General features: G+C 45.9%; 1 protein-coding gene across 4 annotated transcripts in view, besides 1 other annotated feature; it reads right to left on the bottom strand.

The window, feature by feature from the left end:
- The window catches only part of SLC6A5 (solute carrier family 6 member 5), a 59,678-nt gene that overhangs the window by 34,626 nt on the left and 11,550 nt on the right, over positions 1 to 13,502 (bottom strand). For all 4 annotated transcript variants that reach the window (XR_007062528.1, NM_004211.5, NM_001318369.2 and 1 more), the window contains 2 exons: positions 9,840 to 9,981; positions 6,776 to 6,908 (listed from right to left, as the gene is read on the bottom strand). Coding sequence is in view for 3 of the 4 variants with exons in the window: in NM_004211.5 (NP_004202.4) it covers positions 6,776 to 6,908; positions 9,840 to 9,981 (275 nt within the window). In the remaining variant the exon portion in view is untranslated. The remainder of the gene's footprint in view (positions 1 to 6,775; positions 6,909 to 9,839; positions 9,982 to 13,502) is intronic.
- Positions 2,694 to 3,195: an enhancer, noted in NCBI's record as "H3K4me1 hESC enhancer chr11:20643011-20643512 (GRCh37/hg19 assembly coordinates)". NCBI's record gives its function as "activates a minimal SCP1, AML or CMV promoter by ChIP-STARR-seq in naive H9 embryonic stem cells {active_cell/tissue: H9 hESC(naive)}" and the evidence as "EXISTENCE:reporter gene assay evidence [ECO:0000049][PMID:30033119]".

The raw sequence follows: 13,502 nt of genomic DNA, 5'->3' as shown, positions 1-13,502 counted from the left end.
TCCTTCCTCTGAGGGCAACTGGAATACCTGCCCCCATGAGAGGGACACAGGGCACCTGCCGCACGCTGTCTGCACAGACTCGAGTACCTGGTAGGGGGCTCCAGCATGGTAGTGAGTGGGATTTCAGGAGATGAGGACGGATTCAAGGACTCACAGGGGGAGATGAATTGGGAAAGTTTAGAGCTGAGATGAAGAAATAACTCTTGGGGGCCGGGAGCGTTGGCTCACACCTGTAATCCAGCACTTTGGGAGGCTGAGGCAGGCGGATCACTTGAGGTCAGGAGATCGAGACCAGCCTGGGCAACATAGTGAAACCCCATCTCCACAAAAATACAAAAATTAACCGGGCATGGTGGTGCATGCCTGTAGTCCCAGCTACTCAGGAGGCTGAAGCAGGTGAATTGCTTGAACTCAGGAGGCAGAGGCTACAGTGAGCCAATATCACACCACTGCACTCCAGCCTGAGTGACAGAGTGAGACTCTGTCTCAAAAAAAATATATATATATAATATATATATATAAAACCCTTGGGGTCATTCCACCTGTTCAAATGAATATACATACTTATATATATATTTAGAGCAACTAATATGTGCCAGCCAGTTAAGCATTCAGGACCTATCAGTAAATAAAGCAAAGATTTCTGCCCTGAATAGCTTCCATTCTAGCTGGGGAGAGAGTCAACCAACAATAATCGTGATAAGTATTATTTGTGGCATATTAGAAGGTGATATGTGGATTGAAAAAATGAAAAATTAGAGCTGGGTAAGTGGGGTGGGGTGTGGGGAGGATGGTTGGGAAGGCTTCAGGGAGAAGTTGGTCAAGGAAGAAAGTCAGGGTGAGCCAACTGGATGTCTGGGAGAACATTTCAGATGGAGGGAACAGTTGGAATCATGGCCCTAAGAAGGGAGTGTGCCTGGCTCCTAGGAACAGCAAAGAGGCCAGTGTGGCAAGAGAGGGGGCACAGGTGGGAGAGATCGGCAAGGTGGGAGTAGGGAGGGGCAGACTAGGTGGGGCCAGGCAGAGCTCTCACTCTGTGGGCAACAGGGCTACGGCAGGGACTCAGGAAGAGGGGTAACAGGATCTAACGTTTGCACAGAATCACCCAGTTGCTATGTAGCAAGAATACTGCAGGGTTAACAGTAAGGAGGCCACAGCAGCCAGCAGGCAAAGGACAAAGAATGGGGATGGCTCCAGCCAGGGTGTTGTCGCTGGAGCTGGTGAGAAACACATGCCAGATACATTTTCAGGAGGAGCCACCAGACTTCATGGGGAGTGTGAGAGAAAGAGAAGAGTCAAGGTGACTCCCAAGTGTTTTGGCCTCAGCAACTGAAAGGGTGGAGTTGCCATGAACTGAAATGGGGAAGTTACTTCTGTCTCTAAACTCAATTACTCAAGGCCGAACTCTTTCTTCCTGGCTGCAGGTTCAGACCTGCCAGAGGTGGACTGCACTCCTTTTCTCTCCACTGTGACACTGCTGACCAGGACACATTTTTCCTGCACCACAGAACAGCAGTCTCTCCTCCCTCCTTGTCTCAAAGAACTTGCAGTGCTAGGAATGGAAGGGAGGAGCAGCAGCCAGCTCCTCTCTATTTCTTCCAAACCTGCTTCTCTCCTTCCATCCCCTTGAAGTCTAAGGAGAAGTGAAGCCCTTCCACACGTGGATGTTAGGAAATCCAAGGGCATCTGACGTCTCAGGGCTGGCCTCACAGCTGTCAGGTGGGGCTGGGAAGATGAGATACTACAAGGGCAGGCCCTGACCAGCCTGACTTTCCTGCCCCCAAAACAGCACGGGGATGGGATGGGAGACAACTAAGGAGTATCCTTTCCATCCTCTGACCACCTGGGGCTGGTGGGAAATGAGGATGGAAGAGGTGACGGAGAGGACATGACCTAGACAGCGGTGGCTTATAGAAGGAAATCTCCAAGGCTGGCATGAGTTTAAGAGACAGCTGTTCCCATTTCACTGTTGGAGGCTGTTTAGACACCATCACTCCTGAGTTCCCTCTGTGGCCAGGTATATTTGTCCCATTTTGCAGAGAAGTTAACTGAGGTTCAGGTTAAGCATCTCACAAGGGTTTAAATATCTCGTTCAAGGTCTTGAGACAAGACTTAAGCCCAAAGCTTCCCCACTCCAAAGCCACTCTTTCCATGAATGCCATTCTATGGGCCACATGATGAGAAATGTGTATGGCAGGGCCAGGACTAGGGGGAGGCAAGTGAGACAGGAGGCATCTAGGGTGCAAAATTTACAGAGGCATTCACTGTCAGGTGCCGGCCCTGCACTTCAGGAACCTGAGAGTGAGCGCCTCTCAATTTTGCACACTAGGCACTGGCTCACCTCACCCAGGTGATGCATTCATTTTTTAGGTGGTGATCATGGTGAACTGAGAGGGCCAACAGTTTGGTTTATAAATCCTGGGAATGCCTCAAATGTGAGACAGGTGTGCATTGGAGGTTTCTGCACAGCTAGTTCCCCTGTGTCAGGGGAGATTCAGAATGCACCTGTTTCCACATTGTATTGTCAGAGGAGTTAAACTTGAACAGTAATGAATTACACTTGGCAGGAGTGACACTGACTCGCCCATCTGAGCCTGTTGGCCTGACACCTCCAGGCATCCTTCTCACCATGGGACCCCTGAACAGGTGGTAAAGGCCCAACAGCCTGTACGAGCTAATTAGGTTAGCTTTGCTTGGTTGCCACAACTCTCAGGCAGAGGCGCCCCTGAGGGCAGGTGGGCTGCATTTGACCTTCAGGCTGCCTGCTGGTCGCCCGTGCCTCTGGAATTCTAGCTGCTGGAAAACAGCCTCCAACAGTGAAATAGGAAGACCTGTCTCAGAGGAAGCAACCTGCCAGTCCTGTCTCCTGAGGCCCTAAACAAGAGGAACTGAGCTTATCTGGCTGCAGGAAGACGACATCTCTTTTGCATAAAAATGACAGTGTTCCTGGGATTTCAATCACAAAGGAGTTCATCATAAAGCACCTTCAGCTGCGCATCCACCTTGGCTCCCAAATAATGCTCCATGATTAATGTCTGCACAGCCCAGGGCAGGATAGTAAATTGTGATTCATTATTTCTGGTAGTATTCTTCATTTAAAATAAAAATTGATCATTGATCTCTGGTTGGAAACTTTTCTCAATGAAGCAGAGAGATAAGTTGGCAGATCTAAATGAAAAACATATCTGCTCAAAACTTCCTATTCCAGAAAGCCTATAAAATCTATCACCAAGAATTAGATTCTAAATCAGTGGAAAGAACTGGCTGCAATGCCATTCCAAAAGAGCACAGACTAATAAGATAAAAAGAATCCTAGAGAATATTCTAACTCTTGATTTTGCAAATGAAGACAATGAGGCTGTAATATATCCTGTGACTTGCCCAAAGTCACACAGCAAGACAGCAGAGACTGGGTAGAAATGCAGATTCTGATTTACTGTGGGGGGATTTTTTCCCCCACTATATGAAAATGATGACTCCACAATTCCTCATTTACTATCTATTCTTAATAACTCCTTCTTGGGAGAGAATGTCTTGTATTAGAAAAAGTCTAGGCCAGCTGGGCACGATAACTCACACCTGTAATCCTAGCACCTTGGGAGGCTAAGGTAGGGGGATCACCTGAGATCAAGAGGTCAAGACTAGCCTGGCCAACACGGTGAAATCCTGTCTCTACTAAAAATACAAAAAAAATTAGCTGGGCGTGGTGGTGGGCTCCTGTAATCCCAGCTACTCAGGAGTCTGAGGCAGGACAATCACTTGAACCCAGGAGGTGGAGGTTGCAGTGAGCCAAGATGGCACCACTGCACTCCAGCCTGGGTGACAAAGCGAGACTCCATCTCAATAAAAAAATAAAAAATAAATATAAATAAAAATAAAAAAGTCTAGGCTTCAAAGCCAGATAGACCTGGGTTCAAATCCCACTACTTCCACTTAAAAGCTCTGTGACTTCAGGCAATTTACTCTACCTTGACAAGCCTCAGTCTCTCTCTCTACAAAATGGGAATCAATGTGCTTCTAATGCATGTGAAGCAGCCAGCACAGTGCCTGGCACACAGTGTTCAACAAAGCTCTCTTTCTCTTCCAATCTCCCAACAAAGCCACTGCTGTGGAGATGTCAAAGTGGCACAATACCCAGTCAATACAGCAGCCATTCAGAATAATGAACATGAAAGGAGATAATGTTAATAACTGACCATACACCAGGTAGTAGCATGCATGTCTCACTTCATCCTTACAGCAATCCTAAGTATTATGCACTATTATCCCCTATTTACAGATGAGGAAATGGGTTTCAAAGGTTAAATAGCTTGTCCAGAGTCACACAACTAGAAAGTGATAGAGCCAGGATTTGAACTAAGATTGGTCTGACTCTGGAGCCACAGGCCATCCTTCCTCACATCATTAAAAGGTGCTGTTCTCACCCTCCTCACCTATCACCTCTCCTCCTGCAGTCTCACCTTCCAGCCTATACTACTAGGCACCTGTCTGGCCACTCACATCATGGTTGAGGTCAGCTTGTCTCCATTTCTAGCCATAAGTGACAGTCTTGCCCATGGGATTTTGATTGAGTATATACTTGGCTAGTCTTGTTGAGCAATTGCTTGGCTGGGCCCTTTGGAGATGATGAAACTCCCACCCAAGCTCAGCTCCAAGCCACAGAAGGTGAGGGGTCCAGGAAACCTCAGGCCATGCTCGGTATTGTCATAAGGGTCAAGTTAACATTTCCCATCTCCCTGTAACCTTAGAAAAACAATCAATCCAGTCTCATGGTACTCACTCAGAGCCAGCAGGTTCCTCAGGGGTCACTGAATCCCAGTTCTCTTTTTACAGAAGGGGAAACTGAGGTCACAGAGTAGAAGTGCTCCCAAACCTCCAGCTCACCCAGCAAGTGTTCCAACAGAATAATCTTAGAATTAGAGGACCTTAGACATCACCCAGTCCAATTACCCTCACCTTAGAAATGAGGAAACTGAGGACTTCTAAAATAGCTAGGAAAATGTGCTTTTCATTTATTGGCCAAAAAAAAAGCAATTAAAGCTAAGAGCAAAATCAGAAGCTCAGCCATGTTTCACCACCCAAGTAGAGATATCCCTACACAGCAAACACCATGAGAAGTCCCCAAGGACAAGGGCTCAGGTCTCCTCACTCCTGGGCTGGTTCTCTCTAGCTGACCTGATTCTCCCCACACTCTGTGATTTAAGGCATACCACCTGCCTCAGGTAACCCTGACAAACCTGCCAGAATCCACCACTCAAGTCCCTGTGGAACTACATGACATGAAAAGCAAGCACTAATAAAAGCTGTAATCAAAAATGTCCATGTCCCCAGGGAGAAGACAGTTCGGTCTATGTGGCTAATAGATGCTGGGATTGCGTGCCTAATGGGGGATGCAAAGCATGCCTGGGGGTGAAAGATGGCACTGACTACCCTCCCGATGAGACCCAACCTTTCAGAAGTTGGTTGATTGTAACATAATCGCAGAAATCCTTGGCCTGGATAATCAAACCAAATCTCAACTCCACAACCTATGGTCTCAGAATCCCCCATTACATCCTCATTCCTTGAGCCTTAAAGACATTTTTGTTTCATCCTAAAACATGCAAATACCTCCTGGCGTAATTAAATATTATTGCATGTGATCAGAATAACTGGTTAACTCTTCAGTAGGTTTTTCTTTGTGTGTGTGTGTGTGTGTGTGTGTGTGTGTGTGTCGGGCGGGACAGGATCTCACTCTGTCACCCTGTCACTCTGAAGTGCAGTGATGCCATCTTAGCTCACCGCAATCTCCGCCTCCCGGGTTCAAGTGATTCTCCTGCCTCAGCCTCCCAAGTAGCAGGGACTACAGGTGCCCCCCACCATGCCCAGCTAATTTTTGTATTTTTCATAGAGACGGGGTTTCACCATGTTGGCCAGGGTGGTCTCGAACTCCAGGCTTCAAATGATCCACCCGCCTCAGCCTCCCAAAGTGCTGGGATTACAGGCCTGAGCCACTGCACCCAACCTTCAGTAGGTTTTTCTAAGGCTGCAAGGAGATGAAGAAATGTTACTGTGACCCCTACAACAATGCCCACTGTGGCCTGAGGTTCGATGGGCTCCTCTCTTTCTGTGGCTTGGAACTGAGCTTGGGTGGGAGTTTCACCATCTCCAAAGGGCCCAGCCATGCGATCACTAACTGACCCTTACCAAGTAATTGCTCAGCCAAAATTCCATGGGCAGGACCATCTTCCTTTAGTGCTAGGGGCACATGGGGTAGAAGAGTGTCAAGCTTAGAGTTGAAAGAAAGGCAAGGAAGGCCATGAACATGGTGGCCGGGAGTGAGGAGAGGGAATCTACTACACAGTTTTGATCTTCAGCCAGCTTCTTGGCAGAAGCAATAGCTAACTTGGCAGCCAGACCAAGAGGCAAAAAGCCAGCAGCACAAATTCTAGAGTTTAGGGAAAGTGACTGAATGATATCAGGGAGGTTCCTTCTGCTGAATGAGTGGCAGCCCCTGAGAGGAAAGGAAGGAAATCCTAATCAGAGTACCCCCCACCATCCCTTGAGAGCTCTGTATATATGTGTCTCATTTAACCCTTAAAACAGCCCTGCAAGAAAGGTGTTATTATCCCCATTTTGCAGATGAAAGTGAAGTCACAGCCCCTCAGCTGCTCCAGGGCAGAGTCAGAATTAGCATCCACAGCTCCTGACTCTCTTTCCAGTGCTCTGCCTGCTCCCCAAAGCAACCGCCCCTGGGTGTCTCACAGCTTTCTCTTAGATAAATCCAAGTGCTTACTTTTCCTGAAGTCTTGATTCCTTTAGCCAATGATGCATACACAATGACCCAAGCCAGGAAGAGGCAGAGAGCTAGTGGCCACCTGATCTCGCCAGGATATTCAATCCCTGCAGAAATCTTCAGCACAAAGTACCTGAGAGTTGGAGGGAGGGATGGGGGGAGTGATAGAAAGAAGGAGAGAGGGAGGTGACAGGCAGTAGGCTTTAAGCCTCCAGTAGAGCCAGGAGGCTTGCACAAAACCCCAGCATCCTCCACCCACCCCACCATCAGGAACCTAATCACATCAGGCTGTGGGGAATTTGCTGGTCTGGGCTCTTGCCCACAGCCATCTGCAAAGACTCCAGCTGGATTTACTGTGCTCTTGATTACGTGCTGGGAGGCTGCTCATGGCCCTGGGCAGGCTTCAGGACAAGGCTGTCAGTTCCATTGTCACTAGCACATCCCCAGGAGAAGTGCAACAGAAACTCTGAACCGTCAAGGGTGATTTTTGTGTGTTTTCTGTATTGCTCTACTCTTTTATGAGAATTTATTCTGGTAGTATTTGTGTGATTTTAATTTTAAAAATTAGTACATAGTGGAAACTGCATATGCTAAATGACGAAAAATGTGGCCCTGGATTGTAGTTCAAGTTGTGTGGGTATGTCCTGAGGCGGAGGTTGGCTTAATTATAAAAGCAGGGCTGCCTAGACCTTGCTCAAGCAAAACATTCTAAGACAGATGAGCAGCTGCCAACAGAAGAGGCCACTGGTCAGCTGTAGCTGCTGCTGGCAACTCATTTAGATAATGAAGACATCGTGGCCTGCCTGGCCAAATGGCTAGCAGGGCAGCCCCACCCCTGAGGAAAGGAGGCAGCTTCAGGGACAGTGCCTGATAACAGACTCAGACAATTCTTTCTACTCCGCAACCATCTAGCCATACATCCTCTGTAAAACTGCTGTGTTTGTAGGTTGACGTTTTTCTGTGATCTAAAGGAAAGGCAAGCCAGCATCCAGGCTCTGTAGGACTGTAGGAATGATGGCCCAGAGAATTCTGACCTGCTGAAGGAAATGTAGGCAGCAGCCCCACTCCTGGTCCAGCTGGCTAGCTTGAGAGGCTGTTTGGCAACACACAGACATGCTTTTCATAACAGTGATGGCCAACCCTGTGCAGACAGAGCCTCTTTCAGGCCCAAACCCTGGCACAACCTGGGCTCAGAGTTGACTAGGGAAGACCAAGGCTGGAACTAAACTTGGTTCCACGGCAAAACCCTGAGGACCATATTTGCCAAGCAAGGAAAAGGACCTTCCCCATGTCCCATGCCCAAAATAGGTAAACCATATAGTCAACAATTCCATGACTTAGCCATCTCAACTGCTCCATGCTTCAATTGTAGGACCTCAAACAAGTCCCAAGAAACTCCTGATGACATTTCTTCTTAGAAATCAAGACTGGCCCCAGAGGATTAGTAAAGGCCATCAAAAGCAGGTTTGCAAATCACTTTTTAGTACACCTGACTGCATGGATTAAGTGTACTGGAAAATGATTTGCAAACCTGCTTTTGGCGGTCTTTCAGATTTCATCATACTACCAGGTCAGACTCAGTTGCTCAGTGCTCAGGGAGAATTAAAGACCCACCCTAATACCCCCATGGTAGTTATGGTCAAAGGGGACTATTTAATCAATTAGGTAACTCTCCCTTCTGTTCTGCAGGGAACAACTATGTACACCCTGAGTCTACAGGAAAGAAAACCAGGAGTAGGAAATAATGACAACTGGGAGAAGAGTCATGGTATTAGCAATCATTTGTCGTCATCTAAGTGAAAGCCACAAACTGGAGGCTCATTGATTTATGCATTTTATTTGATCCCCATGTTCTATTTGAATTATTTTGCTGCCATTTAAAATAGGAGAGATCACATAAAAATCCAGACTTTATTTCCATCTTTTATTGTAAAATAGAAGCTCTGGCATCACTGCCCCACATTTTCACAAGGCAGTGATCAGAGGAGCTGGGCACCAGTGGCTTTCCTTACATGCGACAGGCAGCCTCTTTGGTTTGCTACAGTCCCCACCCCCTCCCTATCATCTCATTTATTTTCACTTTACTCATTTATATTCCTGCCATGCCCGAGTACATTTGAATTTACAACCCCTGAATTAAAGTTTAGCTAGAGAACACTCTTTACGTACCCTATGATGAACTCTGTCTACATTTATCTCCCTTAAGACATAATTTCATGGCTGGGTGCAGTGGCTCACGCCTGTAATCCCAGCACTTTGGGAGGCCGTGGCAAGCAGATCACAAGGTCAGGATATCGAGGCCATCCTGGCTAACACGGTGAAACCCCGTCTCTACTAAAAGTACAAAAAATTAGCCGAGCATGGTGGCACGCGCCTGTAGTCCCAGCTCCTCGGGAGGCTGAGGCAGGAGAATAACTTGAACCCAGAGGCAGAGGTTTCAGTGAGCCGAGATCGCGCCACTGCACTCCAGCCTGGGCAACAGAGCGAGACTCCATCTCAAAAGAAAAAAAAGGAAAGAAAGAAAAGAAAAAAATAATTTTATGAACTTCACTAAATCTTCCAATGGTAGCTGAGGATCTTCAAGTATCCCTGAACCTCAATCTCCAATGCCTAGCAATACTGATATTAAAAAATACAAAACTAAGGCAAAGCTATAAAAAAAGGAAAAAAAATGAATTTGTTCTTATTTACACTAAAGCTCTGAACATGACTTCTTTTCTTTTTGTCTCTCTTCCCTGAAGCCAAGTGCAGATGGAAGAAAAAATAATCTGGTTAACTGACAGTCCACTTAGATCACACTGGATCAAGGTTTTGAAATGGGCTTTTCATCAGCATCATGAATTATAGCCGCAATGATTCTGCTCCTACTGCTGTCATTCATCCAGCTCTGCTTTCCAGGCTCACAAGACACAACAATCTGCTCTTGGAAGCCAAACCAGGGAAAAAACCTTCCTCTCTGATCTCATCCCTTGGGCTACCCACACCTCTGGTCTGCAAATTGAATATTTATTAATTCACTGTGTTTCTCTTAGAAGGTAAAAAAGGAAAAAGAAAGTCATCTTACTTGAAGTACTCTTCACTTCCACTGACAAATGTCTTATTGGCCTGGCTGGTGAAATTAACCATTGTCACGTTGGGATAAGCGGTCATGCAGAAAGTCGAGTTCTTGATCTGTATTTTGGGATGGTCACTGATAACACAGGAATCTGTTTAGGAGAGGACAGAATAGAAACACAGTTAAATCTGTACAGAAAACAGAGATTTGTCTCTCTGCAGCAGTTTAAAAACAAATGCCAAAAACATTTGCAAATATTGGAGAGTACCTTCAGGAAAGGATTAACTGGGCAAAGCCAGATATATTAAGAAAAGAACCAAAGAATTATGTTTTCTCCATCAGAGCCCCCAGTCCCCACAACTGCACCTTGTACTGATGACAAAGGCATTTACAGAACACTCTCTATGTGGTAGGCAAGTATTTTGCATGCATTATCTCATTTAATCCTCACAACAGCCTATGCAGGAGGTACTATAATCTTCCATTTTCAAAATAAGGAAGCAGGCTTAAAGAGGTAGGTAACTCTACTGAAGCCACACAGCTTATGAGGAAGAGAATCAGGATTCGAACTCAGATCCTTATGACTCTGCAGAAAATAAATAAATTGCTGAAACGAATTGAATTAGAAAATAAGCAGACCCCCTGAAGGGTACTGCTACAGAAGGCTTTCTAAGAAGTTCACCTTGGACCCACTGCCTGGCACCACATTTAGTAAGTACTCTAGGATACACGTGCTGTGTACTTTCTACTCTCACGTGGGTAAGCAGAGGCAGCAACCACGCCGTCTACCGGGGATCCTGTGACAGGACCTGACAGTGTGGTGCTCAACTGGGGATGAGTCTTCTCTCCAGGAAACATGTGGCAAGTCTGGAGGCATTTTTAGTTGTCATACCTTGGGGACCTGGTGCTTACTGGTGTCTAATAAGTAGAGGCCAGGGATGCTAATACTAAATATCCTACAATGCACAGGACAGCCCCCCACAACAAAGAATTGTTCAGTCCCTTAGCCAGGCATGATGGCACACACCTGTAGTCCTAAATACTTGGGAGGCTGAGGCAGGAGGATTGCTTGAGCCCAGAAATGCAAGGCTGCAGTGAGACATGATCATGCCACTGCATTCCCAGCCTGGGTGATGAAGCAAGACCCTGTCTCTTAAAAAAAAAAAAAAAAAAAAAAGAATTATTTAGTCCAAAACATCGGTGGTACCAAGGTTGAGAAGGCCTGATCTAGGCAGGGATGGAGAAAGGAAATTAACCCTGTGAGTCTTAGTATGTCAGGCTCTGTGTTGAACACTTTAATGATTATCTCATGAAATCCTCATAAAACCCAGGAGGTATATATTATTATTGTCATTTTAAATAGGAAGAATCTGAAGTCTTTCTGACCATTTTACAATGCCTCTCTTTAAAATACAGATAAACTGACAAATACCTTAAATAAAGAATCCACCAGGACTAATCCCAAAGGACGTTATTTTGCAAAGGAGCACATAGTAACAATAACAACAACAACTTACACTTATATGGCAGTTACCACGTTTATGGCACTGTTTTAAGTACTTTACATGCATTGACTAATTTAAGCCTCACACCACCCCCTATGAGAAGGTACTGTTATTATCTCTATGTTACAGATAAGGAAAACTGGGGCACAGAGGGATGCAGTGGCTAGCCAAGGTCATACATCAAGACAGGATGTAAACAAGCTCTCTCTTTGGAATCAATGACTTAGGCAATCCAATGTGAATAGGGAGCAGGGATTATAAATTCAAACACCTACAGAAGCCAGGATGATGACACAAATGAGGAAGGCATAAAATTAGAAAATAATAGAGAGAGGTGGGGACTGTGGCCAACCAGAGAGCACTCCAGCCAATCAGTGCCAAGCTTTTCCAGATGTTGTGGCAAAAGATGCAGAAAATCTATAAACTTACATGAAATATCTCCATTTAAAAATATTGAATGTGTTAAAATTGTCTTTAAATACCAGGAGCAACAATAACAAAAAGTGGCTGGGCAGGGTGGCTCACACCTATAATCCCAACAGTTTGGGAAGCCAAGGCAGGAGGATGGCTTGAGCCCAAGACTTCAAGACCAGCCTAGGCAACATAACAAGACCCCTATCTGTACCAAACATTTTAAAAATTAGCCAGGTGCAGTACTGCACATCTATAGTCCTAACTACTCAGGAGGCTGAGGGAGGAGGATTGCTTAAGCCCAGGAGTTCAAGGTTGCAGTGAGCTGTGATTGCACCACTGCACTCCAGCCCGGGCAACAGAATGAGACCCTTTCTCTAAAATAAATAAATAATTTTAAGAAGCAGGCTTGATCTGGTGCATGGACTCCCATTTTATGTTCTCTGTGGAAGAGCATAGAGGGCAAGAATGTGAGTTCAGGCGTTCCACTACTCCCGAGAGCTTGAATGAGTTCCATTTGTCCAAGCCTCCATTTTCTGGTCATAGTTGTTCAGGGTTGCAGTAAGGACTAAATGAAGAGAGATCACAAATTAAAAATCTTCCCACAATGCCTGGCACACAGCTGGCACTCAATAAATTTTAGCCATAACTCAATCATCATTGTTATAGCTTTTTCTGGAGAGAGTATCTCTAGTCTTCAGCATCATCTCCCGTAAGGCCACTTGCCTGCCATAAATTGCCTACCACTTCCCATACACACCGCAGAGTTTCTTAGAATGTTGGGTAAAAATGGAAACAATAATAAGAATCCCTTCCCTTTCAGTAGTTCTTTAGACCAAGGTTTCTCAATAGCTGTACTAATGGCATTTGGGGTCAGATAAAGTAACCGCAATAGGTCCATTGCCCAACAGGCACAGTGAGTCAATACTTCACCAAGACCCTGCGTTGCAGCAGAGAAAGAGGTTTAATTAAGAGAAGAGGACCTTTTTTAAGTCACCCCAGAATTCCAAAGGACCAATACCCCTGCAAGGGACAGCCTGGGCCCAGGAACAGAACACGCTCATGTGCTGATAACACAGAGAATGACAGATGGAGGGGCTGCACAAAGAAAGAGTGGGGATTGACACCTTGTTTTTTTTTTTTTTTCACCAAAATAAATAAACAAATAAACCACTGGGTAAGAATGAGATAGGATCTGCTCAGCCTGGTCATTTACTCGCAGGAAGCAAATAGAGTTTCCTGCGTTGCAGCAGAGAAAGAGGTTTAATCATAAGAGCCACTGAACAAGGAGATAGGAGGAAACCTCAAATCCATCTCCCCAAAGAGTTTGGAGCTAGGGTTTTGGAGTAGGTTGAAGAGTGCAGGGTGAAGTCCTGGGACAGAGAGATGAAGAAAAGCATTCTCACACTGATTCAGTTCCTCTGTGGGAACCTTTTTTCATTTGTTTGTTTTTTGTTTTTTGAGACAGTCTCACTGTGTCACCCAGGCTAGGGTGCAGTGGCACAATCTCTGCTCACTGCAACCTCTACCTCCAGGGTTCAAGTGATTCTCATGTCTCAGCCTCCAAAGTAGCTGGGATTACAGGTGTGTGCCAACACTTCCAGCTAATTCTTGTATTTTTAGTAGAGACAGGGTTTTGCCGTGTTGCCCAGGATGGTCTCCAACTCCTGGCCTCAAGTGATCCATCCACCTTGGCTTCCCAAGGTGCTGGGATTACAGGCATGAGCCCCTGCTTAAAGCTGGTAGGAGTCTTTAA

Source organism: Homo sapiens, chromosome 11 (assembly GCF_000001405.40).
Source record: "Homo sapiens chromosome 11, GRCh38.p14 Primary Assembly".
Lineage (NCBI taxonomy): Eukaryota > Metazoa > Chordata > Mammalia > Primates > Hominidae > Homo > Homo sapiens.
The sequence above is the reverse complement of the archived record's forward strand: the minus strand, read 5'-3'. Positions and strand labels throughout refer to the sequence as shown.